This window comes from Homo sapiens, chromosome 18 (genome assembly GCF_000001405.40).
Source record: "Homo sapiens chromosome 18, GRCh38.p14 Primary Assembly".
Lineage (NCBI taxonomy): Eukaryota > Metazoa > Chordata > Mammalia > Primates > Hominidae > Homo > Homo sapiens.
In genome coordinates, this window is record NC_000018.10 from 22,211,261 (window position 1) to 22,236,673 (window position 25,413).

General features: G+C 43.7%; 1 long non-coding RNA gene across 1 annotated transcript, besides 2 other annotated features; it reads left to right on the plus strand.

Annotated features, from left to right (window-relative positions):
* Positions 4,574-5,223: an enhancer, noted in NCBI's record as "NANOG hESC enhancer chr18:19795797-19796446 (GRCh37/hg19 assembly coordinates)". NCBI's record gives its function as "activates a minimal SCP1, AML or CMV promoter by ChIP-STARR-seq in naive H9 embryonic stem cells {active_cell/tissue: H9 hESC(naive)}" and the evidence as "EXISTENCE:reporter gene assay evidence [ECO:0000049][PMID:30033119]".
* LOC105372017 (uncharacterized) lies at positions 4,639-25,094 on the plus strand. Its single transcript, XR_935279.3, has 3 exons — positions 4,639-4,771; positions 5,419-5,609; positions 24,739-25,094. It is a non-coding gene; the product is annotated as an uncharacterized LOC105372017 (long non-coding RNA).
* Positions 7,019-7,626: an enhancer, noted in NCBI's record as "NANOG hESC enhancer chr18:19798242-19798849 (GRCh37/hg19 assembly coordinates)". NCBI's record gives its function as "activates a minimal SCP1, AML or CMV promoter by ChIP-STARR-seq in naive H9 embryonic stem cells {active_cell/tissue: H9 hESC(naive)}" and the evidence as "EXISTENCE:reporter gene assay evidence [ECO:0000049][PMID:30033119]".
* Positions 25,095-25,413: the final 319 nt, after the last annotated feature.

Below are 25,413 nucleotides of genomic sequence, written 5' to 3' on the forward strand. Positions count from 1 at the left end.
CCATTGTTTCTTATATACTTATTATTCTTTGTACTTTTACCAGGACTTCCTTCTTTGTAGCTTTGTTTACCCTATTCTTCCATTTACATTTTACCGATCACTTGAGTCTCCAAAAAAAATTTCTGACTCTTTGATATCACTAGGCATGATTTCCAGTTGAGTCCTTCCAGGAGAAATTTCAGAAGGTGCCTCCTTTTCTTTCTAAATGGGTCAGAGATACCTTTATTTTGGAACTGACCATGGGAAGCCTTCAGTTGTTTATATCTTGAATTGGGGCAGCAGATGGAGCTTTTCTCCCCTGTCCCCAGCACCATCCAACCTTCTTTCCTTGACCTTTTAGAAGCATTTGACATTGTGGCCCTCTCCATCTTACCTGAAGCCTTCTCCCCCTTTTGACTCCGGAGACATCATAGATAAATCAGGGCTGTGGTGAAATGGAAACACTGTGCCTTCAGAGTCATGCAAATGGGGGTTTGAATCTTGGCTCCACACAGCAGCTCTGAGGCTTGAACAAGTTCTGGAATCTCTCAAGGCTGCAGTGCTCTTATCTCAAAAAGGAGGGTGACATAATCTGCCTCGTATGCCAGTCTTCAGCCTTGAAGCCTTATTCAACTTCTGCTTTTTGAGGGTAGGGGCAGAGTTTGTACCCTGGAACATGATGCTAGCATAGTGCCTTTCACAAGATGGGCACTCACTAATTTATCTGCTTTCCACTTCCCATTTTCAGCCTAGAGTCACACCATTCATTCATGCTCCATGTGTTAGGGTTCTCCAGGGAAACAGAACCAATAGGATATATACATATATAATCCATATATTGGATTTTTGATTTTATATATATCCTTGAATATATATATATATATATATATATACATATATAGAGAGAGAGAGAGAGAGAGAGAGAGAGAGAGACAGAGACAGAGACAGACAGACAGAGAGAGAGAGACAGAGAGACAGAGAGAGATTTGTTTTAAGAAATTGGCTCATGTGATTGTGAGGGCTGGCAAGTCTGAAATCTGTAGAGCAGGCCAGTAAGCTGGTGACTCAGGTGAGAACTGATGTTGGTCTTGAGTCTGAATTCCACAGGGCAGGAGTCTGGAAATGCAGGCAGGGTTTTTATGATGCAGTCTTGAAAATAATTCCCTTTTTTTTTGAGACTGAGTCTCACTCTGTCACCCAGGTTGGAGTGCAGTGGCTTGATCTCGGCTCACTGTAACCTCCACCTCCTGGGTTCAAGTGATCCTCCTGCCTCAGCCTCCCGAGTAGCTGGGATTACAGGTACCTGCCACCATGCCTGGGTGATTTTTGCATGCGGTTTCACCATGTTGGCCAGGCAGGGAAAAGAATTTCTTCTGGGGGAAACTTCAATCTTTACTCTTTTAGGACCTTCTACTGATTGGGTGAGGCCCACATACATGATGGAGGACAATCTGCTTCAAGTCCACTGATTTCAGTGTTAGTCCCATCTAAAAAATACCTTCACAGTGACATCCAGACTGGTGTTTGATTTTTTTTTTGTTTAAAGTGGAGGTCTTGCTCTGTTGCCCAGGCCGGAGTACAGTGGTACCATCGTAATTCAATGTAGCTTCAATTCCTGGGCTCAGGGATCTTCTGCTTCAGCCTCTTAAGTAGCTCTTAAGTACAGGCCTGTGCTGCCATGCTCAGCTAATTTTTTTTTTGTTGTTGTTGAGACAGAGTCTTGCTCTGTCACCCAGGCTGGAGTGCAGTGGTGGGATCTCGGCTCACTGCAACCTCTGCCTCCCAGATTCAAGTGATTCCCCTGCCTCAGCCTCCCAAGTAGCTGGGACTACAGGTGTGCACTAGCATGCCTGGCTAATTTTTTTTTTAATTTTTAGTAGAGACAGGGTTTCACCATGTTGATCAGACTGGTCTCGGACTCCTGGCCTGAAGTGATCTGCCCACCTCAGTGTCCCAAAGTGCTGGGATTACAGGCATGAGCCACCACATCCGGCCTAATTTGTTTTGTTTTGAGACTCAGTCTTGTTAGGTTGCCCAGACTGGTATCTAATTCTTCAAGCCATTCTCCCACCTCAGCCTCCCAAAGTGCTGGGATTACAGGCTTGAGCCACTGCACCAAGCTGTGGTGTTTGATCAAGCAACTAGGCACCAGAGCCTAGCTAGGCTGACACATAAAATTAACTATCGCTCTCCACACGCTTGGCCACTGATCCTTAGCAACTGGGCCTCAGTCCAAAGTTAGAGAGCTTAACTGAAGAGGACATTGTGATGATGAAGCTTGCCGGGGGCCATAGGGATCTCTGTTAGAACTCCCTCAGGATCGGAATTCTATGTTATTGCTGGAGGCCTCTCTGAGGGTTCTTGGGGAAGTTATGTAGAAGGTGCCTCTGCTGAAGTCCTGGAGCTGACCACTCCCACCGGCTTGGCTCTGGGCTCAGCTCTGTCATGGTTGAACTGTATGACCCTGGGCAAGTCATGGGCTCTTCTGGGCCTCAGTTTACTGTCTATAAATAGGGACATTTGGACTTGATGTACCTGAAGTTCCCTTCTTGCTTTTAAACAGCTTCTCAGCTCCTTTTGTTTTACCACTAGCTTTGCAGAGACTTGTTAGGAATTTACAGCTTGTGATTGCTTCACTTTTTTGGAAATGGCTCTATGGTTTCAAACAACATTAACTTTAAAAAATTAACAATGCTGAGCGTGGTGGTTCACACCTGTAATCCCAGCACTTTGGGAAGCTGAGGCAGGTGGATCACCGGAGGTCAGGAGTTCGAGACCAGCCTGGCCAACATGGTGAAACCCCATCTCTACTAAAATACAAAAATTAGCTGGGCGTGGTAGCACATGCCTGTAGTTCCAGCTACGGGGGAGGACAAGGCAGGAGAATCACATGAACCCAGGAGGCGGAGGTTGCAGTGAGCTGAGATTGCGCCACTGCACTCCAGCCTGGGAGACAGAGTGAGACTCCATCTCAAAAAAAAAAAAAAAAAAAAAAAAGAAAAGAAAAGAAATTGACATCATGTGTTTACTGACTAGATGCTTTTTTTTCTTTTAATCACTGCGATGTCATTCATCTAGTGAGCGCTCAATACATGTTTTTTTGGATTAAAACATATTTTAAAAATTTATATATCATTAAAAAGACATTTGCACTACAGAAGCTCCTGGGTGATGATAGGTAGACCCACCCTCTCCATTAACTATCTTGTAGTTTAGAGGACTCCAGAGTATATTGGAAAGAACCAAGGCTTTGCAATAATACAGACCTGGACTTAAATCCTGAATTTTCTACTTGTCAGCTGTGCAACCGTGGTCATAATTCTTAATTTCTCTGAGACTCAGTTTATTTATCTGTAGAATTGGAGTAATGGGATATCTCCCAGAGTTGTTAAATGACATGTATGTGAACTGCCAAGCATACGGCTTAATAGAGTAAACTTGAAATAAAAATGAGGTATTTTTTGTTCTCTTCCCTTGGACTGTGTGTGGAGTCCTGGAGCACTGTAATGCCACTAGGAAGTTTGAGGCAAGAGGCTCTCTTCCAGCGATGTCAAGAAACTTATTGCTTTTTTTTTTTTTTAATCACATCAGATGGATGTGATTACCATCTGAGTGTGTCCCATCCAACAGAACGGGGTTAGGCTGTGAAGTGCTTTGCTTTTAAAACAGACAGTCCTGTACTCTAGGAATCAACAGTGCTTCCCTTTCAGGAAGAAGTGATGAATCATTACAGGAAATATTGTGTTTTTTTTTCCCCTCAAGTATCTTACCAATGAAAGTTATTAAAAATAGAAGCTTCGGTTGAGAACAACTTTGGGAGGAGTCAGAGTGGAGATGAATTTACTAGGGTTGAAGTCAACATCTTTGAGTGAGTTAATCTGGAGTTTTAATCCCTGTCACTGTCTCTCCAAGGACTCAAATCTTGGATCTTGAAAAAAAATTAATTGAAATGCTACTTGATTTCAAAAGACTTAGAATACCACTAATGATAGAAATAATGGTAACTTCTAAATAAGTAACCAAAATAGGCCTCTATTGGTAGCTGAGAAAAGCTCTTCCAGCTGCGGAAGACAGCGTGCGGCAGCGTGGGTGCTGGCGGAGACACTGATTTGATTGTGGCCATGATCATACCACGTATACGTACATCAAATCATCATGTGGTACATCTTGAATTAGTCAATCTTTATTTGTCAATTAAATATTTTTTAATTAAAAAAAAAGCAGACCGGTCGTGGTGGCTCTTGCCTGTAATCCCAACACTTTGGGAGGCAGAGGCTGGCGGATTGCCTGAGGTTGAAAGTTCGAGACCAGCCTGGCCAGCATGGTGAAACCCTGTCTCTACTAAAAATACAAAAAGCTAGCCAGGCGTGGTGGCAGGCTCCTGTAATCCCAGCTACTCGGGAAGCTGAGGCAGGAGAATTGCTTGAACCCAGGAGGCGGAGGTTGCCGTGAGCCGAGATCGCGCCATTGCACTCCAACCTTGGCAACAGAGCGAGACTCTGTCTCAAAACAAAACAAACAAACAACAACAACAAACAAAAAAACCACCACCACCACCACAACAAAACAAACAAAAAAAATGCAAGCCGAGTGTGGTGGCTCACGTCTATAATCCCAAGGAGGCTAAGGCAGGAGGACTGTTTGAGCCCAGGAGTTCAAGGCTAGTCTGGGCATCAGAGAGAGACCCCATCTCTGATTTGAATGAATGAATAAATAAAGAGGAGAAGACAGCAGAGGAGGTGGCTATGTTGCTCAGGAGGTGAGACTGACCCACATCTGCCCTCCAGCAGCGGTAAGCCCAAGGGAGGGTCTGACCATCCTTTTTACAACATCATTTGTGCTGGAGCAGAAAGTACTCACTCTGTCATTTCTCTGGGTTTCATTCAAACCCTCAATGGCTGTTAATCACCATTAACCAGTTCCTTTAAACTGCTTTGCATTTCAAAGAAGATGGGTTCTCTAACTTATTCTTTCCTTCAATTATGGCTGGCTGGAGGTTACTTTACTACCATCTACATTCTTTTTTCTTTTTATCTATTTACTTTTTTGCCTATGACATAGCCTCAGGAGGTCCTGAGTACGTGTGCCCCTCTTTGTTTTATTATTATTACTTTGTTAAACAGTGTCTTGTTCTGTCATCCAGGCTGGAGTGCAGTGATGTGATTAAGGCTCACTGCAGCCTTGACCTGCCTGCCGCAAACCATCCTCCCATCTCAGCCTCCCAAGTAGCTGGGACTACAGATGTGCACCATGATGCCCAGCTAATTTTTAATTTTTTTGTAGAGACGGGATCTTGCTATGTAGCCCAGGCTGGTCTCAAACTCCTGGACTCAAGGGACCCTCCCACCTTAGCCTCCCAAAATGCTGAGATTACAGACATAAGCCACCGTGCCTGGCCTCTACATGCTATTTTAATTGATACTCCCCAAATACCTGCAGCTGGCACTTGGTGGCATGCATGATCTCAGCCCCATCTCCTCTGAGCGGATTCCTCCACAGCAGCTGGGCTCACGCAGCCACTTGTCTCAGCTCCACCTTCTCATGGACTCAACAAAGCTGTTTCCAGCAGGGCTGATTTTAACCAAGGGCTGGGGGTCTCGGGTTCCTGCTCTTCTTTTCCAGAGTGGAAGGTGAGTTTGTTTTTTGCCTTACTCGGGGCCTTTTCCCTGCACTGGATGCTTCCTTACCTGTCAAGCCCAAGCAGCTTTTAGAACTGATTGCTGACATTTGTGTTGAGAGAAGAGAGAATGAAAAAGAGCGGGCTGCGCGTTGTGGCTCACGCCTGTAATCCTAGTACTTTGGGAGGCCGAGGCGGGTGGATCACTTCAGGTCAGGAGTTCAAGACCAGCCTGGCCAACATGGTGAAACCCTGTCTCTACTAAAAATACAAAAATTAGCCGGAAATCGCTTGAACCCGGGAGGCAGAGGTTGCACTGAGCCGAGATCGTGCCACTGCACTCCAGCCTGGGCAACAGAGCGAGGCTCTGTCTCAAAAAAAAAAAAAAAAAAAAAAAAAAAAAAGAGCAAGCACTACAGAGAACTCGAGCAGGCTATTTCTGGAGAACCTGCTCCCTGTCACCCCTTTTAGTGCTGGGCAGGGCTGGAAGAGATTGTCATTTGTTGACTGTCCTTGGGCTCTTGAAACGGAGTCAAACAGCTTCGTGTCTGCGACCCAGACCTCTGGTGGTGGGTCCCAGGGAGGGATGGCTTTGTTCTGTTCATCTTGTCTATCCCTCCATTTGGGCCACGGAGGGAAGGGAGTCTCTGGCCAGCCTCACTCCTGAACACACGGAGGCTGAGGCGGGCCTAAGTTCTGTGGCAGGCGAGAGCTGTTCACAGATTGTGTTCTTGGAGGTTTGCTGCTCACATTCCAGCAGGGTCAGGAAACAGGAAGCCAAACAAAGGAAAGAAACACAGAGGAAGAGACCTAAAGGGACAGAGACAAGAAGAGGCACTTTTTTTTTTTTTGTTTTGAGACGGGATCTCGCTCTGTCCCAGGCTGGAGTGCAGTGGCATGATCTCGGCTCACTGCAACCTCTGCCTCCCAGGTTCAAGCGATTCTCCTGCCTCAGCCTCCAGAGTAGCTGGGATTACAGGTGGGCGCCACTACGCCTGGCTAATTTTTGTATTTTTAGTAGAGACGGGGTTTCACCATGTTGGCCAGGATGGTCTCTATCTCTTGACATCGTGATCCACCCACCTCTGCCTCCAAAAGTGCTGGGATTACAGGCGTGAGCCACCGTGTCTGGCCAAAAGAGTGACACTTTCAAATCCGATCCAGAAGTCTCGTCCTACTAACTTGGAGTAGAGTTGGCAATGGGAATGGAGACTTTTAAAATTAAATATTTTTATGTTAATGAGACATACAAAAAAGCAGAAGATTTATCTTACATATGTACAGTTTAAGGAATAATAATGCAGCCTGACCAACATGGCAAAAATTTGTCTCTACAAAAAACACAAAAATTAGCTGGGCATGGCGGCATACACCTGTAGTACCTGCTACTTGGGAGGCTGAGGTGGGAGAATCGCTTGAGCCCAGGAGTTCAAGGCTGCTGTGTGCCATGATTGTGCCACTGCACTCCAGCCTGGGCAATAGAGTGAGACCCTGTCTCAAAAAGAACACAAATCCTCAGGTCCTCACCACCCAGTTTAAGAAATAGAGCACTACCAGGATCTTAAAACCCCTGTGGGGCTGAAGGGGCCATTTTCAGGTACCTATGGCTATCTAATCCACTGCCAAATGTCTGAATTTACCATTCATCTACATTTAAATATGGCAAATTAGCACCTTTTTTGGCATTCTTGAGAAAAGAATTGGTTTTAATGACTTGAAGGATTCCCTACTTCCCTAACACCCTATCATTTGCCTTTTCCCAGCCCTGAAACCATTAAGGATTTTCCTCAGCTTTTGTCTGCAAAAAAAGGGTTGTTAATGCACCCAGGGAGACCTGTTCCTGTTAATAACATCTGTTTAGCCTACCCCATTCTTCCTAAATGCTATAGATATTAGAGCCAGGCATCGGTACAGACTTAAGGAAAGAGCAACTGAATCCATTTGCAACACAGCTAAGATATACAGTAAGGTATACTATAAACTACTCTACAGTATTTTATGGGGTGGGAGTGAGGAAGGGATAGGTAGGTTGCAAATTTGATTTTCTTCCTTTTAATATACAGGCACTGAAGGCAAGGAAGATCTTCCTTCTTCTTTCTCTGGCCTCTCTTCCAGAGAGGCCAATATCCCTCTTCCAGAGGGATATTGTAGAACGATTTCCTGTGTTCTGCATGATGACCTTGGGAACCACAGCTGGGGTGGGTAGCTGGATGGTGCAGGTAGGCGTAGATGGAGATTGTCTTTATTGCCTTTTTTTTTTTTTTTTTTTTTTTTTTTTCCTGAGACGGTCTCACTTTGTCACCCAGGCTGGGGAGCAGGGGTGTGATCTTGGCTCCCTGCGGCCTCGACTTCCTGGGCTCCAGTGATCTTCCCACTTCAGCCCCCCAAGTGGTTGGGACTACAGGCATGCACCACCACCCCGGCTAATTTTTTTTTTTTTTTTGGTATTTTTTTGTGGAGATGGGGTTTTGCCATGTTGCCCAGGTTGGTCTCAAACTCCTGAGCTCAAGCGATCTGCCTGCCTCGGCCTCCCAAAATGCTGGGATTACAGGGGTGAGCCACCTCTCCTGGCTGAGATTGTCTTAAGACAGATGCTGCTGAGAAGCCTTGCTGAGCTGTCCTGAGTGTCTGCCGGCAGCTGAAAGTCAAGAAGCATCTTACATCTTTGCTTGTTACTCAGAAGCAAGCTGTGATGAAGTTTCATGCACATATATCATGGTTTGTGTGTACCTGCCAACTCTTCATTTTCTGGATGTCACCAGCCTTTTTTTGGACCAGGATTTTTAGGTACCTTCCACCCCATTTTTACATCATCGCTCGCTAAGCTGGACCTGAGCCAACTTTCATCTCGGCTACCTTTTCCTGCCTCTTTGGCGGGGCCTGGAGAGGAACCGTGTGAGATCCGATGAACCGTCTCCCTTGGCCAGGTTTCAGAGCAGCCCTCCCTCTTCCCAGGCTTATTGCCCAGAATTCCCATGATCTGACACCACCAGGTGGAGCTTTTTGGTCTTGAACCCAGATGAGCTTCTGGGCTTGGGGCTTTGGGGGATCTTTTTGGATTTGGCAGTATCACTGATGGTCAAGGTCTGGGCAAAGGAGAAGAAGCTCCTTCTTATTCTCGTTTATGAAGATTCATGCCACTTTACAGAAGACTAATCCCGAGAGCTTCAGGCCCTGAATGTGGAACCTTCTTCTGAGTCTTGTTATTTTTTCCCGCCTAGAGACAGGGTCCTGCTTTGTTGCCCAGGCTGGAGTACAGTGGCGCAATCATAGCTCACTGAAGCCTGAAACTCCTGGAGTCAAGTGATCTGTCCTCACCTCAGCCTGCAGAGTAGTTGAGACACAGGTTCATGCCACCATGCCTAGCTTATTTTTCTTATTTTTAACTTGTTTTTTTTTATGTAGAGATGGGGTCTTGCTCTGTTGCTCAGCTAGATTCTGAGTCTTTTCTAGCTTGCACAGGACCTCAGAACAATTAAGGATGACCAGAGGGTGAAGTCACTAGTCAGGCAGAGACTAAGTCATCAGCTAACAGCAGGTGATCTTGACCTTGGGCCTGCCAAAGTGTGGACTTACTTGTAAAATTTTTATTACATTCCATTTTTAAAGTTTTATTTTAGGTTCAGGGGTACAGTGCAGGTTTGTTCTATAGGTAAACTCATGTCACGGGGGTTCATTGCATAGATTATTTTGTCACTTGGGTACTAGGCCTAGTACCCAATAGTTATTTTTTCTGCTCCTCTCCCCCCTCCCACCCTCCACCCTCAAAGAGGCCCTATTGTCTGCTGTTCCCCTGTTTATGTTCATGTGTTCTCATCATTTAGCTTCCACTTGCAAGTCAGAACATGCAGTATTTGATTTTCTCTTCCTACATTATTTTGCTAAGGATAATGGCCTCCAACTCCATCCATGTCCCTGCAAAGGACATAATTTTGTTCTTCTTTATGGCTGCATAGTATTCCATGGTGTATATGTACCACACTTCCTTTATCCAATCTGTCACTGATGGGCATTTAGGTTGATTCCATGTCTTTGCTATTGTGAATAGTGCTGCAGTGAACATATGCATGCATATGTCTTTATGGTAGAATGGTTTATATTCCTCTGGGTATATACCCAGTAATGGGATTACTGGGTTGAATGGTAGTTCTGTTTTTTGCTCTTTCAGGAATTGCCATACTGTTTTCCACAATGGTTGAACTAATTTACCTCCCACCAACAGTGTGTAAGTGTTTCCTTTTCTCTGCAACCTCACCAGTGTCTGTTATTTTTTGACTTTTTAATAATAACCATTCTGATAGGTGTGAGATAATATTTTGTATGTATATAGGTCTGCACATTTTTCCGGGGAAAAGTTCATTGCTTTCATCAGATTCTCAAAGGCACATGTAATGCAAAGTAGGTTAAGAACAAGGGATCACTTCTGATTGCTTGGTTTGTAACAAAATAAGAAAAATAAGGAGATACAATTCAGCTTCTCATAAAGCTACAATTCTAAGAATGCCTTTTATTCTGGGATTATGCCCATTCACTGTCTCTCTCTTTTTGCTATTAGGTTTTCTTTTATGGGATGATGGTCTAGTGAATTGTAATTACAAAAAAAAAATTTCTCTCTTGACAAAGCCGGAAGTTGGTAAAATCTTCAACTAAGAGTTCTTTCTTTTTTTCTGGCTTGTGAAATCCCACATCCTGGAAACCACTAATCTAGAGGGTTGTCTTTCTATCTGCACGTGATTTAGGGGTGTGCGGTTGTACACCATTCTTCCCCTCACACTCCCCCATGTATATGAAGGTTGTCTTTTATTATGTGCAAACCTTTCTTAAAGAACATGATATAAACATAACTCTTCCTGGCTCCAAAAAACATAACTATCACTTTGGGCAAATAATCTAATCTTCCTGGGCCTCAATTATCTTATTAAAATGAGGAAGATGGGCTGGGAGCTCTGAAGGTTCTGTCCAGATCTAACATGATGTTATTGAAGTGAATGCATGTGAGGCCAGACAGGAAAGGCTGAAGTACAGATCAGGGCCTTGAGGGAGGAGATCAGAGGCAGGGGGAGAACCCTGTCTTTTGATTTTCCTCAAAAGCAGAGTAAAAGAAAAGATTTTGGATGTATTTAAAATTTTGGTCTACATGATTCAGTGAACTCATATGCTAATTTATTTATTTATTTTTAATTTCACAGCCTAGACCTTACAAGCTAATCTGGTTTTATGAGGTGTTCTTTGTAAGATTATGTAAAATTAATGTAAAATTTAATGTAAAATTATCCAAAAGTGGATAATATGCTTTTTGAGACAAAGATGGGTAAAGGAAAACTGATCAAAATCAGCCAAAAGAATAATGAAGCTGGGCATGGTGGTCACACCTGTAATCCCAGGACTTTGGGAGGCTGAGGTGGGAGGATCACTTAAGGTCAGGAGTTTGAGACTAGAGTGGGCAATATAGGGAGATCCTGTCTCCACAAAAAATTTAAAAAAACTAGCCAGGCATGGTGGCACACACCTGTAGTCCCAGCTCCTCAGGAGGTTGAAGTGGGAGGATCACTTGAGCCTGGGAGGTTGAGGCTTCAGTGAGCCTTGATTGTGCCACTGTACTCTCACCTGGGCAAGTACAAAAACAAGAAGAAGAAGAGTGAAGAAGAGTGATAATAATAATAGTAACAGGCCAGGTGTGGTGGCTCATGCCTGTAATCCCAGCACTTTGGGAGGCCAAGGTGGGTGGATCACTTGAGGTCAGGAGTTCAAGACCAGCCTGGCCAACATGGCAAAACCCCATCTCTACTAAAAATACAAAAATTAGCTGGGCGTGGTGGCACATGCCTGTAATCCCAGCCACTGGGGAGGCTGAGGCCGGAGAATTGCTGGAACCTGGGAGGTGGAGGCTGCAGTGAGCCAAGATCATACCACTGCACTCCAGCCTGGGCAACAGAGTGAGACTCTGCCTTAATAATAATAATACTAATAGTAACAAAAAGGAGAGTAACAGTAGTTACGCTCAGGTCATTGAGTGCCAGCTCGGAACTGAACTTTGCATTCATTGTCCTCTTGAGTCCTGCAACGTAGGTTTGATCATCACATTGTTTTAGATCCAGCCATTGGCAGAGGTATGATTTGGCCCAATCCACTCACTTGAAAGCTCCCACTCCCTGTGGCCACTCCTTTAAAACAGAGCCTTGCTCCTCAAAATATGGTCTGATCACCTGCAGCGTGGGCATCCCCTGGGAGCTTGTTGGAGCAGCTCAGGCTCTGTCCCAGACCTATTCAAGCCAAATCTGGATTTAGCAAGACTCTCGAGGGATTTGTATTCAAGTAAAAGTTTGAGGAGCACTAGTTTAGATGATTCTGCTTTAGAAAAAACTTTCCCTACGCGTTAATACTTATCAAGTGTTCCCTTGCTTTATGGCTGAAGAAGGAAAGCATCACACTAAGGATGGAGAGAAGGCTGTCCTGGTTGGGGAGGGTGGAGTCCTTGCTCTACTGAGAGGGTGTGCATTTCTGAACCCTTGTTGCCTGTTTCTCTCCTTGAAAACTGAATATGTCATAGGATGTACAACACCAAGGGTGAGCCCTAACACGGACTATGGACTTTGGATTGTAACCAACGTAGCACTCTGGTGCAGGATGTGGGGATGCGGATAGTGGGTGGGGCTGTGCGTGCTGGGGGAACAAGGGGTCTGTGAGAGCTCCGTACTTTCTGCCCAATTTTGCTATGAACCTAAGACTGCCCTAAAAAATAAGGTGTATTCAAACCTGAACACACCTTAATGTATTCAGGCTGTGGGCCTTGCCGAAGATGGGACAGCTAGTAAGATAATGCCTGTTAAATTCTTTTTTAAAAAAATCATTTGGATAAAAGTGCTTTTGAAAGACAGGGTTTTGTCAAGTGCTATGATCTCATCATCTGGCAGCCCCGGCGGGCAAGGAGTCCAAGGGAAACCCAGGGCGTTGACAAGTGGGTGACTCAGGTGCCGGCCCTGCTGGCGGTGAGCAACTGCGGGGTTGGAACCCGTGGGAGGGGCAGGGAGATGTGCTGAGCTCCTTTCTGGCCAGTGCTGATGTCATCAAAGCCCCAGGGCTAAGGCTGTGCTTTCCACCTGCCCTCAGAAGCACCAGTACTCCTGGTTTCTTATTTATTTATTTTTTCTCTTCTCTCTGGTTTTCTGGGTTGTGTTTTCCCCTTTGTTCTTAAATAGTTAGTTGGGACCTGTGGTAGCTCTTTCAAGGGCTCTGCTAACACAGGACAGCCCTGGACCTTGGCTTATAGGGACTTTATATCCTCATTGTCAGTCCCTGGGGCAGTTAATATGCCTGAAACGCCCTCCACTCCCTCTTAAATGTGTGTGTGTGTGTGTGTGTGTGTGTGTTTGGTTTATTTAATACTATTCTGTAGCATAGGTAAAAGGCTTTAAAAAAACCTTTTCTGCTATCTCATTTGATTCTAAAGACAGTGTCTGGTCAATGGATGGGTGATGGTATTAGGAACACAGGCTGGGTGTCAATCATCCTCCAGTTAATGCAGAAAGAAGGATTCAGTGAGTGAAGTGACTTGCTTAAGGGCACACAGCTCTGTGCAGGTGGGCAACGTGGGAAGGCTCCCAGGGCTCTCCCTTACAAATCCCCAGGCATCTGGCTTCCTAAGCCTGAGGCCTTACTTGTCCTGCCTAAATACTACTAGGTCAGCAAAACTTGTTAGCCATAAAGAGAGAACACTAACCCTGTGTGTCACAGGGGATTCAGGATCAGGGTGGTAGAAACCAATAGGGCCATTTTTTCCTCTGGGCTGTGCTGTTTCTGCCAAGCACCTTCTTGTTTTTATCCATAATAAAAATAAGTGCTAAGTTTTTCATTTTACTTATTTTTTAGATTTTGGGTGTGTTGCCTAGGCTGGAGTGCAGTGGTGTGATCATTACTCACTGCCGTCTGCAGTCTTGACTTTCCAGGCTCGCTACAGCCTCCAGAGCAGCTGGGATTACAGGTGCACACCACCACAGCCGGCTAATTGTTTTTTTTTTTTTTTAGAGATGAGGTCTTGCTGTGTCACCCAGGCTGATCTTGAACTCCTGGCCTCAAGTTATCCGCCAGCCTTAGTCTCTCAAGTTGCTAGGATTATAGGCGTGAGCAACCAAGCTCAGCTGGTGCTAAGTTTTAAGAAATAAAATAACCAGAAAAATTAGGCCAAGTGAAATAGTTCAACTTAGCTTAGCAATGGCAAGCTCAGGTCTTTTCCAAATAATGAGGAAACCTGGTGAAACCACAGTAACCTCAGTGAGCTGTGGCCTTTGCTGACGAGATGGGTGATCAGAATTTGAGGCAAATGGTCCAAGTAGCTGTTTATCGTCTTCAACTTTCACAGCTTCCATTCCAAGCCAATAACTCACTTCTGGGCCCCACAAGTGACCTGTGTTCTACACCTCTATCAATTTTCCCCGAGGTGACTTATTCATTAGCAAATGTGAAAAATTACTAATTAGCACCCCTTCCATGTGAAAGCAGTCTAGACTATTGGTGGGTGTTCAAAAAGGAAGACAACTTCTCCCATCCTCTTGCCTTCTGAGATACTTGGATTTACACAGGAAGGATGTCTCCACTAATGAAACTACCACAGCCTTAGAGACATTTTAAATGGAAAAAGTGGATATAAAAATAATGCTAAAAAAGTTTGAAAAGGCACACTGGCAGCAATGAGGTGAAAAAAAAGGTCTGAAGAAAATGTAAAAAACCCATAAAACCCATAATACTACCATCTTCATATGATAGAAGCATTTATATATTTTCATATTTTCTAGTTTTGGTCCACAAATAAAGACACATTTATTTGGCATTGTGGCAAGCTCATTGTAACATACTCACTGAATATTATCCATTCCTCCCACCTATATCCTATGTTTATACATTGCCTTCATAATGATCATTTTTGATGTCTGCATAATATTGATCATGTGGACACCCTGAATGTACTAAGCAAACTCTTGATTTAATTTTTTTTTTTTTTTGAGATAGGGTCTCCCTCTGTCACCCAGGCTGGAGTGCAGTGGCACAATCATAGCTCACTGTAACCTTGAACTCCTGGGCTCGAGGATCCCTCTTCAGCCTCCTGAGTAGCCATCACTACAAGCATGTGCCCTCATGCCCAGCTAAAATCTGCTCTCTTGGCAAATTACCAGTATATAATACAATATTATTAATTATAATCCTCATGTTGTACATCAGATCTCTTTAACTTATTTATCCTACATAATTGCAACTTTGTACCTTTTGACCAAAGGAAATGAAATCACCACCTTATAAAGGTATCTGCATTCCCTCATTCATTGCAGCATTATTCACAATAGCCAAGATCGGGAACCAACCAAAGTGTACATAGACAGATGAGTGGATAAAGAAATTGCAGTATAGCTATCTGTCTCTATACACATATAATGGAATATTATTCAGCCTTTACAAAGAAGATGGAAATTCTGTCATTTGAGACGAAATGGATGAACTTACAGGACAATATGTTAAGTAACATAAGGCAGGCACAGAAGGAAGAATACTGCATGCTGCCACTTATGTGTGGAGTCTGAAAAGAAATTAAATATGGGAAGGAGGAGGCAGGAAATGGGAATACTTAAGTCTAACCAATCCCTTTGGTGGACATTTTGATTGTTTCTGGATTTTCTGTTATTGATGGGACCAGGAACATTTTTGCATGTAGATACTTTGAAATTGTTTTCTTAGGAAAATCTCAGCAGTAGCAAATGAAGACAGGACTTCAGGAAGAGGGGCCACTCTTCTACCTCTGTCCTCTCTGGAGGGAGACACACAGCACTTTCAAGCCATCTCACAGAGGGCGACTGGTTGTGATTTCTCAGGCCCTTTAAATACCTCTCCTCTGCTCCTTCTGCTTCTGCCTTCATTTCCTCCCACTCTCCTTCTCAGTGCCTTTCCTCAGCCCAAAGCTGTCCCTTGGACTCCTCCTGAACATCTGTCTCCCCCAAAGGCTCTCGTCTGAATGATCCAGCTTTTCACTCCTGGCTCCTTTCTGAAGATCTGTCCTGAAATGCAGGAAGCGGGGAGGGGAACAACACATATTTGAATCCTATCAGCCTCTTGATCTGGTGTCTTATCTAAATATTATTTCTTGTCCTACTTACATCACAAGCCCATAAGGCATAGGCCATGCCTTTACATGTGTCATAGAGAACAGAGAATGCAGTTGACTCTTGGCAAACGTGTGTTGTTGTTGTAAGTTGTTAATAATTGTAAGATGTGAGTAGATGTTCTGGGGAGGTAAAATCAGAGCTAGAAACAAGGGGGGACTTTCTGGGAAGATCATTACGGAAAGTCTTCACAAAAAGGGGGTGATTCTGAACTTTCACCCATGTTTTTGGAAAAGTGCCCAGGGCTTTTGCTCCTGGGAGATATTGGCATTTGGATGGGTGCTTGAACGGAGGGCTGTCCACTTGAACAAAACTTCGTGGGGCATTTTGAACCCTGCCAAGTTAAGTTCAGGGCCATAGAAAAGACAGTGACAGGCAAATACCTCTGGGATAAGCCTTTAGTGACTTTGGGTAATGGAACTGGAACTCTCATCAATTCCTACGTTTTATAATTTGTAGTTTGGGAATTGAGGTTAAATGTTAGAGAGGATTTTTCTTTTTTAATTTTTAATTTTTATATTTTCTTAGAGACAGGGTCTCACTCTGTTGCCCAGGCTGGTCTTAAATCCCTGGGCTCAAGCAGTCCTCTACCTTGATCTCCCAAAGTGCTGAGATTACAGGCATGAGCCACTGCACCTGGTCCAGGATTTTTCTTTTCTTTCTTTCTTTCTTTTCTTTTTTTTTTTTTTGAGACAGAGTTTCGCTCTTGTTGCCCAGGCTGGAGTACAATGGCACGATCTCAGCTCACTACAACCTCCGCCGCCTGGGTTCAAGTGATTCTCCTGCCTCCGCCTCCCAAGTAGCTGGGATTACAGGCATGCACCACCATGCCCGGCTAATTTTTTGTATTTAGTAGAGATGGGGTTTCACAATGTTGGTCAGGCTGGTCTTGAATTCCGGACCTCAGGTGATCCACTAGCCTCGGCCTCCAAAGTGCTGGGATTACAGGCGTGAGCCACCGCGCCCAGCCGGTTTTTCAAGTATAAAACATAACATTGGGTCAAGCCAGTGGGCTGGACCATCCATTCATTCTCCATGGCTTCAACAAAGGGTAAATATTTTGTCCTTTTTGACTTTATCATAAGATATTAGTGATAACCTCCCTTAATAACTTTAGCTAAGGTCTTCATTAGTAAATAGAAATCACATTAAGTAGATTAGAAACCAAAATCCTGTCTGGTAAGGGCCTTTCACATCAAATGTTAAAACAATTTAGGTGAGTAGGATGTTTCTATAAATGGGTTATTTCTAATGCAGAATCTGTTTTTACATTTGAAATGTGGTGATGCTTATTAATTTACTACTATTTTTATACAGATTTGCTTATGAGGTATACCTGTAACTATTTACATATTGTTCTACAGTTTAACAAGTGGGTTTTTTTTTTTTTTTTTTGAGGCAGGGTCTCACTCTCTTGCCCAGGCTGGAGTGCAGTGGTGCAATCACAGCTCACTGTAGCCTGGACTTCCCAGGCTCAAGTGATTCTCCTACCTTACCTAAGCCTCCCAAGTAGCTGGGACTATAGGCATATGCACCATCATGTCCAGCTAATTTTTAAATTTTTTAAGAGACGAGGTCTCGCTATGTTGTCCAGGCTGGTCTCAAACTCCTGGGCTCATGTGATCCTCTTGCCTTGGCCTCCCAAAGTGCTGGAATTACAGGCATGAGCCTATAATCATGAGCTGACAAGTGCTTTAACATACATTTTCTCACTGGGCATGGAGGCTTATGCCTGTAATCTTAGCACTTTGGGAGGCAGGGGTGGGTGGATCACTTGAGCTCCAGGAGTTCAAGACCAGCCTGGACAATATGGTGAAACCCTATCTCTACAAAAAATGCAAAAGTTAGCCAGGCATGGTGGCACATACCTGTAGTCCCAGCTACTCAGGAGGCTGAGGTGGGAGGTTGACTTGAGCCCAGGAGGTGGAGGCTGCAATGAGCCAACATCAAGCCACTATACTTCAGTCTGGGCAACAGAGCTAGATCCTGTCTCAAAAAGCAAGCAAGCAAATAAACAAACATTTTCTCTTTATTCTCACAACTTGTGAAGCAGACAAAGATCTGCTTCTGTTTCACACAGGAAGACACTGAGGCCAAAGAGTTTAAGTGATTCAGTAAGTTGTTGAGTCAGGATTGAAAGGCAGCATTAGATATTTGTCCAGTGTCGTAACTATCTCCCTGATATGGGAAATGATGATGATTTCAGCCTTTTTTAGTCTTCATGAGTATTCTGTAATTGTCTCCTGTTGGTCCCTTATTGTCTTTCTGTCTTGTGGATATCGTTCTTGTGTTGTTAAAATTCCAGAGAAACAACTGGACTTTGAAATAGTCAATAAATGAGGCACAGAAATGGAAACCTCAGGTATTTTCATAGATCTGGAAGAGGGTAGGGAAGAAAGACCCAGTTAGTTGAAAGTATCCGTTAGACACCATGGGAAGCCCACATGAGGCATTTACATGGAAGTTCTGGCGTGTGGGCTGAGGAGAGGTGACACTTCTGGATTGTTTTGGAATGCTGTATCTGCTCCAGAAATGCTCAAAAACTGCAGTGGTAATGCCGATTTGAGTCTCCAGTAGATTTAGGCTCTTCTTGGTACATTTTGGTGCCCTAGCAGGAGAGAGAGGCAGAGAGAGAGAAAGAGAGAGAGAGAGAGAGAGCGACAGACAGACACTCATCATTTTTGTAGATTGCCAGTAGGTAAACACAAGTGTTTTATTAAACTATGTATCAAGGGCTAGGCAGGAGGATCACTTGAGGATAATTTGAGACCAGCTTGGGCAACAAAGCAAGACCCTGTCTCTACAACAATAAAAAGTAAAAAAATTAGCCAGGCGTGGTGGTGAGTGCCTGTAATCCCAGCTACTGTGGAGGCTGAGGTAGGAGGATCGCTTGAGCCCAGGAGTTCAAGGCTGCAGTGAAATGTGATTGCACCACTGCATTCCACCTGCGTGACAGAGTGGGACCCTGTCTTTAAAAAGAAACCCAAAACAACAACAACAATAAAACAAACTAAAAACTCTACATAAATGTCTCTAACTATTACCCTATTACCACGGTGTGTCTTTGGGAAAGTGGTATCCTCTCTCTGTGCCTCAGTTTCCTCAGTGTTATGGCACAAACTGAAATATTTAAATGACATTTAATATTAATGTCATGGATATTAATATATTAATGACATATTAATATATAATTAATATTATGTATTAATGTCATTCTATTAAATGACACAATATTGCACGAACTGAATGTATTTAAAGGAGCCCTAGTGATAGCTCAATAAATATTAACTATTATTATTATTGTAAAGACTAACTTGTCCTCTAATGTATTACAGATGCTGGGTTTACTCTTTAATTGGTAATAAAACTTTTTTTCTACTTTTTAAATTGTGGTAATATATACCTATATAAAATTTACCATTTTAACCATTTTTAGGTGTACAATTTAGTGGCATTACATTCAGACAGTCTCGCTGAATGCGTGTTTAGGCAGGGAGTGGACCCGGGCAGGGCGGCAGGGCTGGTGTGGGGCTGTGTGAGTCTCCCCAAGGCTTGGGTCGGCTCCAGGTCTGGATGCCCCCTGCACTCTGCACAGTGCAGGGAGCAAGGAATGAGTGAGGAGGGGTGAGAGCGCAGTCACACAATTGTTGCCTGGCTGTTCTGTGAGCAACTGACTCAGACATTTATTTGTGTCATCTCTCTCCTCTGTTTTTATTTCACTGGCTCTTAGCCCCATCAGTTCATTTTCCCTGGGAAGCAAAGGCTGGGGTTCTTATTCATTTTGTTGATGTCATTCTTTTGAGCTGTGAGCGCATCAGTGGCCGAGAGAACCATTCAGACGTCCTTCGTACCATGATCGGAGGTTCATGACTCAGGTCTTCTGGCACGTGTGGATTAAGTGTAAACCTGAAGTCAGTGATTTTAATGCATTCCTTCAAATGAGTAAGGTCAGAAGTTTCGAAGGTTAGCCTCTGAAAGTCGTAAGTAGGGAGGACAAACAGACTTTAATAGAAATGGGAGGTCTGTATCCCCAGCTCTCTGAGATTGCTTCTTCAAACTGCTGGTGGCTCTTGTCATTTATGGTGCCATCACCATGAAGCTGGTAAGCAGGAGAATTGCTGGAAAAGTGACCGGCCTGAAGCCTGGTGCCTGTGTTGGCAAATTCAGTTGCAGAGAGATGGTTTGAAATTCATGTATTCATTCATTTGTTCCTTCAACAAACATGCACTGAGTGTGTGCCAGAAATTGTGGTGGTCACTGGAGTTGTAGTGGTCCCTGGAGGATGTCATCTTCTCCCAGAGAAGGTTTATTATAAGAGGTTTCTAATATACAACTTCTCAGGCAAATGACTCTTATCCCTAATTCTGAATTTTATTATTTAATTCCTCTGAACCTATTCAGCTTGCAGGCATCAAACAGGCACAAGTTTTTAAAATATCTGAAAGCTCTGGCCAGGCACAGTGGCTCACACCTATAACCCCAACACTTTGGAAGGCCGAGGCAAATGGATCGCTTGAGGTCAGGAGTTTCAGACTAGCCTGGCCAACATGGTGAAACTTCGTCACTACTAAAAATACAAACATTAGCCAGGCATGGTGGTGCATGCCTATAATCCTAGCTTCTTGGGAGGCACCTGTAATCTTAGCTATTTAGGAGGCTGAGGCACGAGAATCACTTGAAGCTGGGAGGTGTAGGTTGCAGTGAGCTAAGATCATGTCACCGCACTCCAGCCTGGGCGACAGAGGGAGACTCTGTCTCAAAATAATAATAATAATAATAATAATAATAATAAATAAAAATCTGAAAGATCCTAGGCTGGCTGACCTCTAAGTTATAGCTCATAAAGTAAACTATTGGCAACCTGGAGGTTTTCTGGTGGGCACAACTAGATGCAACCACTTAGGGGCCAGAGATTTAATTTAGCCATCTGTCCATCCATCCATCCATCCATCCATCCATCCATCCATCCATCCATACATCCATACATACATCTATCCATACATACCTACATACATACATCTATCCATCCATCCATCCATCCATCCACTCATCCATCCATCCATACATACATCCATACATACATCTATCCATACATACCTACATACATACATCTATCCATCCATCCATCCATCCATCCATCCATCCATCCACTCATCCATCCATCCATCCATCCATACATACATACATCTATCCATACATACCTACATACATACATCTATGCATCCATCCATCCATCCATCCACTCATCCATCCATCCATACATACATACATCTATCCATACATACCTACATACATACATCTATCCATCCATCCATCCATCCACTCATCCATCCATCCATCCATACATACATCCATACATACATCTATCCATACATACCTACATACATACATCTATCCATCCATCCATCCATCCATCCACTCATCCATCCATCCATACATACATACATCTATCCATACATACCTACATACATACATCTATCCATCCATCCATCCATCCATCCACTCATCCATCCATCCATCCATACATACATCCATACATACATCTATCCATACATACCTACATACATACATCTATCCATCCATCCACTCATCCATCCATCCATACATACATACATCTATCCATACATACCTACATACATACATCTATCCATCCATCCATCCATCCATCCACTCATCCATCCATCCATCCATCCATACATACATCTATCCATACATACCTACATACATACATCTATCCATCCATCCATCCATCCATCCATCCACTCATCCATCCATCCATCCATACATACATACATCCATACATACATCTATCCATACATACCTACATACATACATCTATCCATCCATCCATCCAACAGGCATTGACTACGTTTGCAGGCACTGGGAATGTTTATGAGGGGAGACTCATATGTAACATTTCCCAGTCTAGTCTAACTATGGAACCCCACGTATTCCATGGAACAAAGTTTGAGAAACACTAAAATGTGGGGGTGCAATACTCTTACCTTCTTTTTAGGACCCCTCTCATAAAACCTCACCTCACTAGGCTTTATATCTCCTAGGGTATTCTGGAAAGAGTGAGATTTTGGTAAACCATGGCTAGAATTTGTTATAGCCATGAGATGTCTGAAAGCTCACATTTCTCCAATGATTTGAGGAGTTGAACTTTTAGTTTCGATGAAAAGACTAGAGAAACAGGTATCCTGAGTATGTCAGCCCTCCCCTTCTGCGTTTTCTAGACAAACAAAAGCTGCTACCTTTCTTTCATGCGGAGCCACCTAGCCTCTGGCCTCACACCTGGGCTGTTTCATCTCAGGCAATGTCTGAGTATCTGATTGACCTGCCTTTCCACTCTCTGCCTCCTACTCCCAACTGGGATCCGGGGATTTGTGAACACACATGTTTGGGGAGAAGGCAGGAGTTGCACTACCACCTGGAGGCTGGGCAGGCACACCCCTGTGGTGTTTGTGTTCGTGTGCCTGTGTCAAGGTCCTGGCCGGAAGCGCCTCTCCTGGGTTAGGTTTAGCGTGCTGGCAATGCCTGGCGAAATCAAGCTCCTTTTTTCTGGGTCCCCAGCTTTCATCCTCTCCATGAAGTCACTTTTCTTATCGCATCCTAAATGGAGTGATGGGGTGGTAGGGGAGGGGAGGAGGAAGGATATGTCCCTTTGTGTGTTCCTGGAGGGTCACAAGTCTTAAAGGTCTCCTCTGCTGAGGGGGCACTGCTTCCTGACACCTTGCTGGCTTTGCTATCAGGTTTCATAGCAGGAAGAAATAGCTTCTCCTGCCCTCCCACAAACATTCCAAGGTGTGGAGATGCTCTTAGCATACAGCTATGCAACAAAAAATAAGAAGAGAATGGCTTCCAGCCCCTTTCTATTTAGAGGAAGTAGAAGTGTGAACCTACCAACCTTCCCTATACTTGTAAAAATTGCCTTAAAAAATACAAATGGCTTAGCGGTCCTGTTTAGTAACTTGCTGAGTGGCACGCTTAAAGAGCCACTTGGATTCCACCATTTTATTTTCATGTATGTGTGTGTGTATCATCATCATTATCAAAATTAGATAATATATGTGAAAGTGCTTTGTAAACAGCAGAAGAAGTAGGTATATGAGATTATTGTTGTTTTTGCCCTGTTACTAAAAACATCTCTTAAAGCTCTGCTTTTTGTGAGGCATCGTGGCAGATTCCTTTCTAAGGCTGGCTTTCACAATTAAATGTAAATAGATGCCCAGATGATGGAACTCTGCAGGCCCTCAAAGCCAAAATCTCTCTGTCATGTTACCTAAATTCCCATCATCTGTCCTACTTTAATGTCAACTGGGATGGGATAACTATTAAGATGTTAATCATCATGTCTCTTATTTGAAAATTTAGCAGAGAGCAGAGCTTTGAGGCACTGGGGCACAGGACAGGTGTGTTTTGAAATAGGGGAGTGGGGAAGAGAAGCAGATGACACAGGCCAGTGGTATTCCACAACACTGGATGCCAGAAACGCAGCACACAAAATAAAGGAGAAGGAAGAATGAAGCCCTCACTTGCTCTATGAATTTTCTCTGTTGTTCAGTTTGAGTGAATCTGACCAGATCATTGCCTTTTAGAAGCATATGACCAATGATACAATAAAGGTATCGGTAAACATATTGAAGACATTAACAAATACCTATGTTTAAGTATTTCCATATTGGTAAATGCAGTCTGTGGGGTGCTGAGTGATGGGGAACTCTGTGAAGTTCATATTTGGATAGGGTTCCTGAAAACTTTCCTATTTCCTGGGAAATCAGGAATTGTTACCTGGACGCAGTAGACTCCAGGAGCCCTCAGAATGACAGCACAGAAGACTCTTTTGCAGTCAAAAGTGTCTAGATGAGGGGCAGGGGATTCCAGGCATAGGGGGAGGCTAAAGAGAGGGCTTGGAGGGTGGAAGAGAAATCTGTAGGTTGATCACTGATCTATAGGGAAATCTTGCATACATCACCAAGACGCTGTTCTGTGTTAACACGGGAGGATAGTAATGTGTTGTAAGAAAGCCTAGCAAATATATTCTACTTTCCCTAAAATCAGCACAAATGACAGGTCCTTTAGTGCACTTGGAATCTCACTGAAGGCCTCAGGAGGAAGCATGTGCCTTCTGAGCAGGCTTTCCATGCAAGTGAAAGTGTAGTTGCTAAAGATCTGAGCCATCAAGTCTGGTATGAGTTGACACAGTGCTGCTGTGTGCTGTGATTTTGGCAAAGGCTCTGGATCCTTCTGAATATCTTGTTTGCAGGATAGTTCCTGAACCCATGCAGTTTACACCCCGTGGGAGAGGAGCTGCCACTCACCGGCTGGTTGCTTGAGTAAGATAGTTTTTATTTCTCTTGAACTTTGAATAATTTTTAGCTGAATTAACCTTGAGGGGGTCATTTCTTTAAAATTCATGAATATGTTCATTAAAAACAATTTCCAAATTCAATAAGACATTAAAAACCATCAAGATTCTACAGATTTGGGGGTTTGACCAGATTCTGCCTTTGAGGAAGTTTGTTTGTTTATTTATTTGTTTACTTATTTTGAGACAAGTTCTGGCTCTATCACCCGGGCTGAAGTGCAGTGGTGCCATCTTGGCTGACTGCATCCTCCATCTCCTGGGCTCCAGTGATCCTCCTATCTCAGCCTTCTGAGTAGCTGGGACTACAGGCATGCACCACCATGCCTGGCTAGTTTTGTATGTTTTGTAGAGATGGGATTTTGCCATGTTGCCCAGGCTGGTCTTGAATTCATGAGCTCAAGCGATCCACCTGCCTCAGTCTCCCAAAGTGCTGGGATTACAGGCATAAGCCACCGCGCTTGGTCTAGGAAGTTGATTCTTAGGATTTTGGAGGATGGAGATGGAAAAGTATGTTTAAATTCTGAGGCTCAGAGCTGTAATTTATAATCATGATTCCCAAGTGGTTAAAATTTCAGAATATCCAAAGCTATTATTTTCATTAACTTATAATTATTTATTGATAGATGCCTGGGTTCAAGCCAATACTTCAGAGTGAATGCACAAAAACCAAGGAAGACCTAGCTCCTTACTTCAAGGATCTTATAATAACAAACCAGCCCAATGTTGAATACTCATTGAACGTCTGCCATATTTGCAGTGTTGCTGTGGGAAATACAAAAGAAATCTAAGTCTTTGTTTTCCAAGAATTTGTGGTCTAGTTGGATATTAAGATCAGTACACAGGAAACAATGGGGCCAATATCAGTTGGAATGCCTTTGAATGCAAGAAACAAAAATCTCAACTGAAACTCACTTAAACAAGTAGCTGGTCAAATATTGTAATTAAACATCAGAGGTAGAACTGATTTTAATCTAGTGGGTCCAGAAGTTCAAAAACATTATTGAAGACCCAGGTTCCTTTATTCATTTCCTTCTGTCAATCCCAAGGCTGCTTCATCTTAGATCGTAAGACAGCAGCTATAGACATCAGGACTAAGACTCCTTCTTCAGGTCCAGCGGGAGAGAGTGGGCATGTATTTTTTTTTTTTTTTTTTTGAGATGGAGTTTTGCTCTGTTACCCGGGCTGGAATGCAGTGGCGTGATCTCGGCTCACTGCAACCTCCGCCTCCTGGGTTCAAGCAATTCTCATGCCTCAGCCTCCTGAGTAGCTGGGATCACAGGTGTCTGCCACCATGCCTA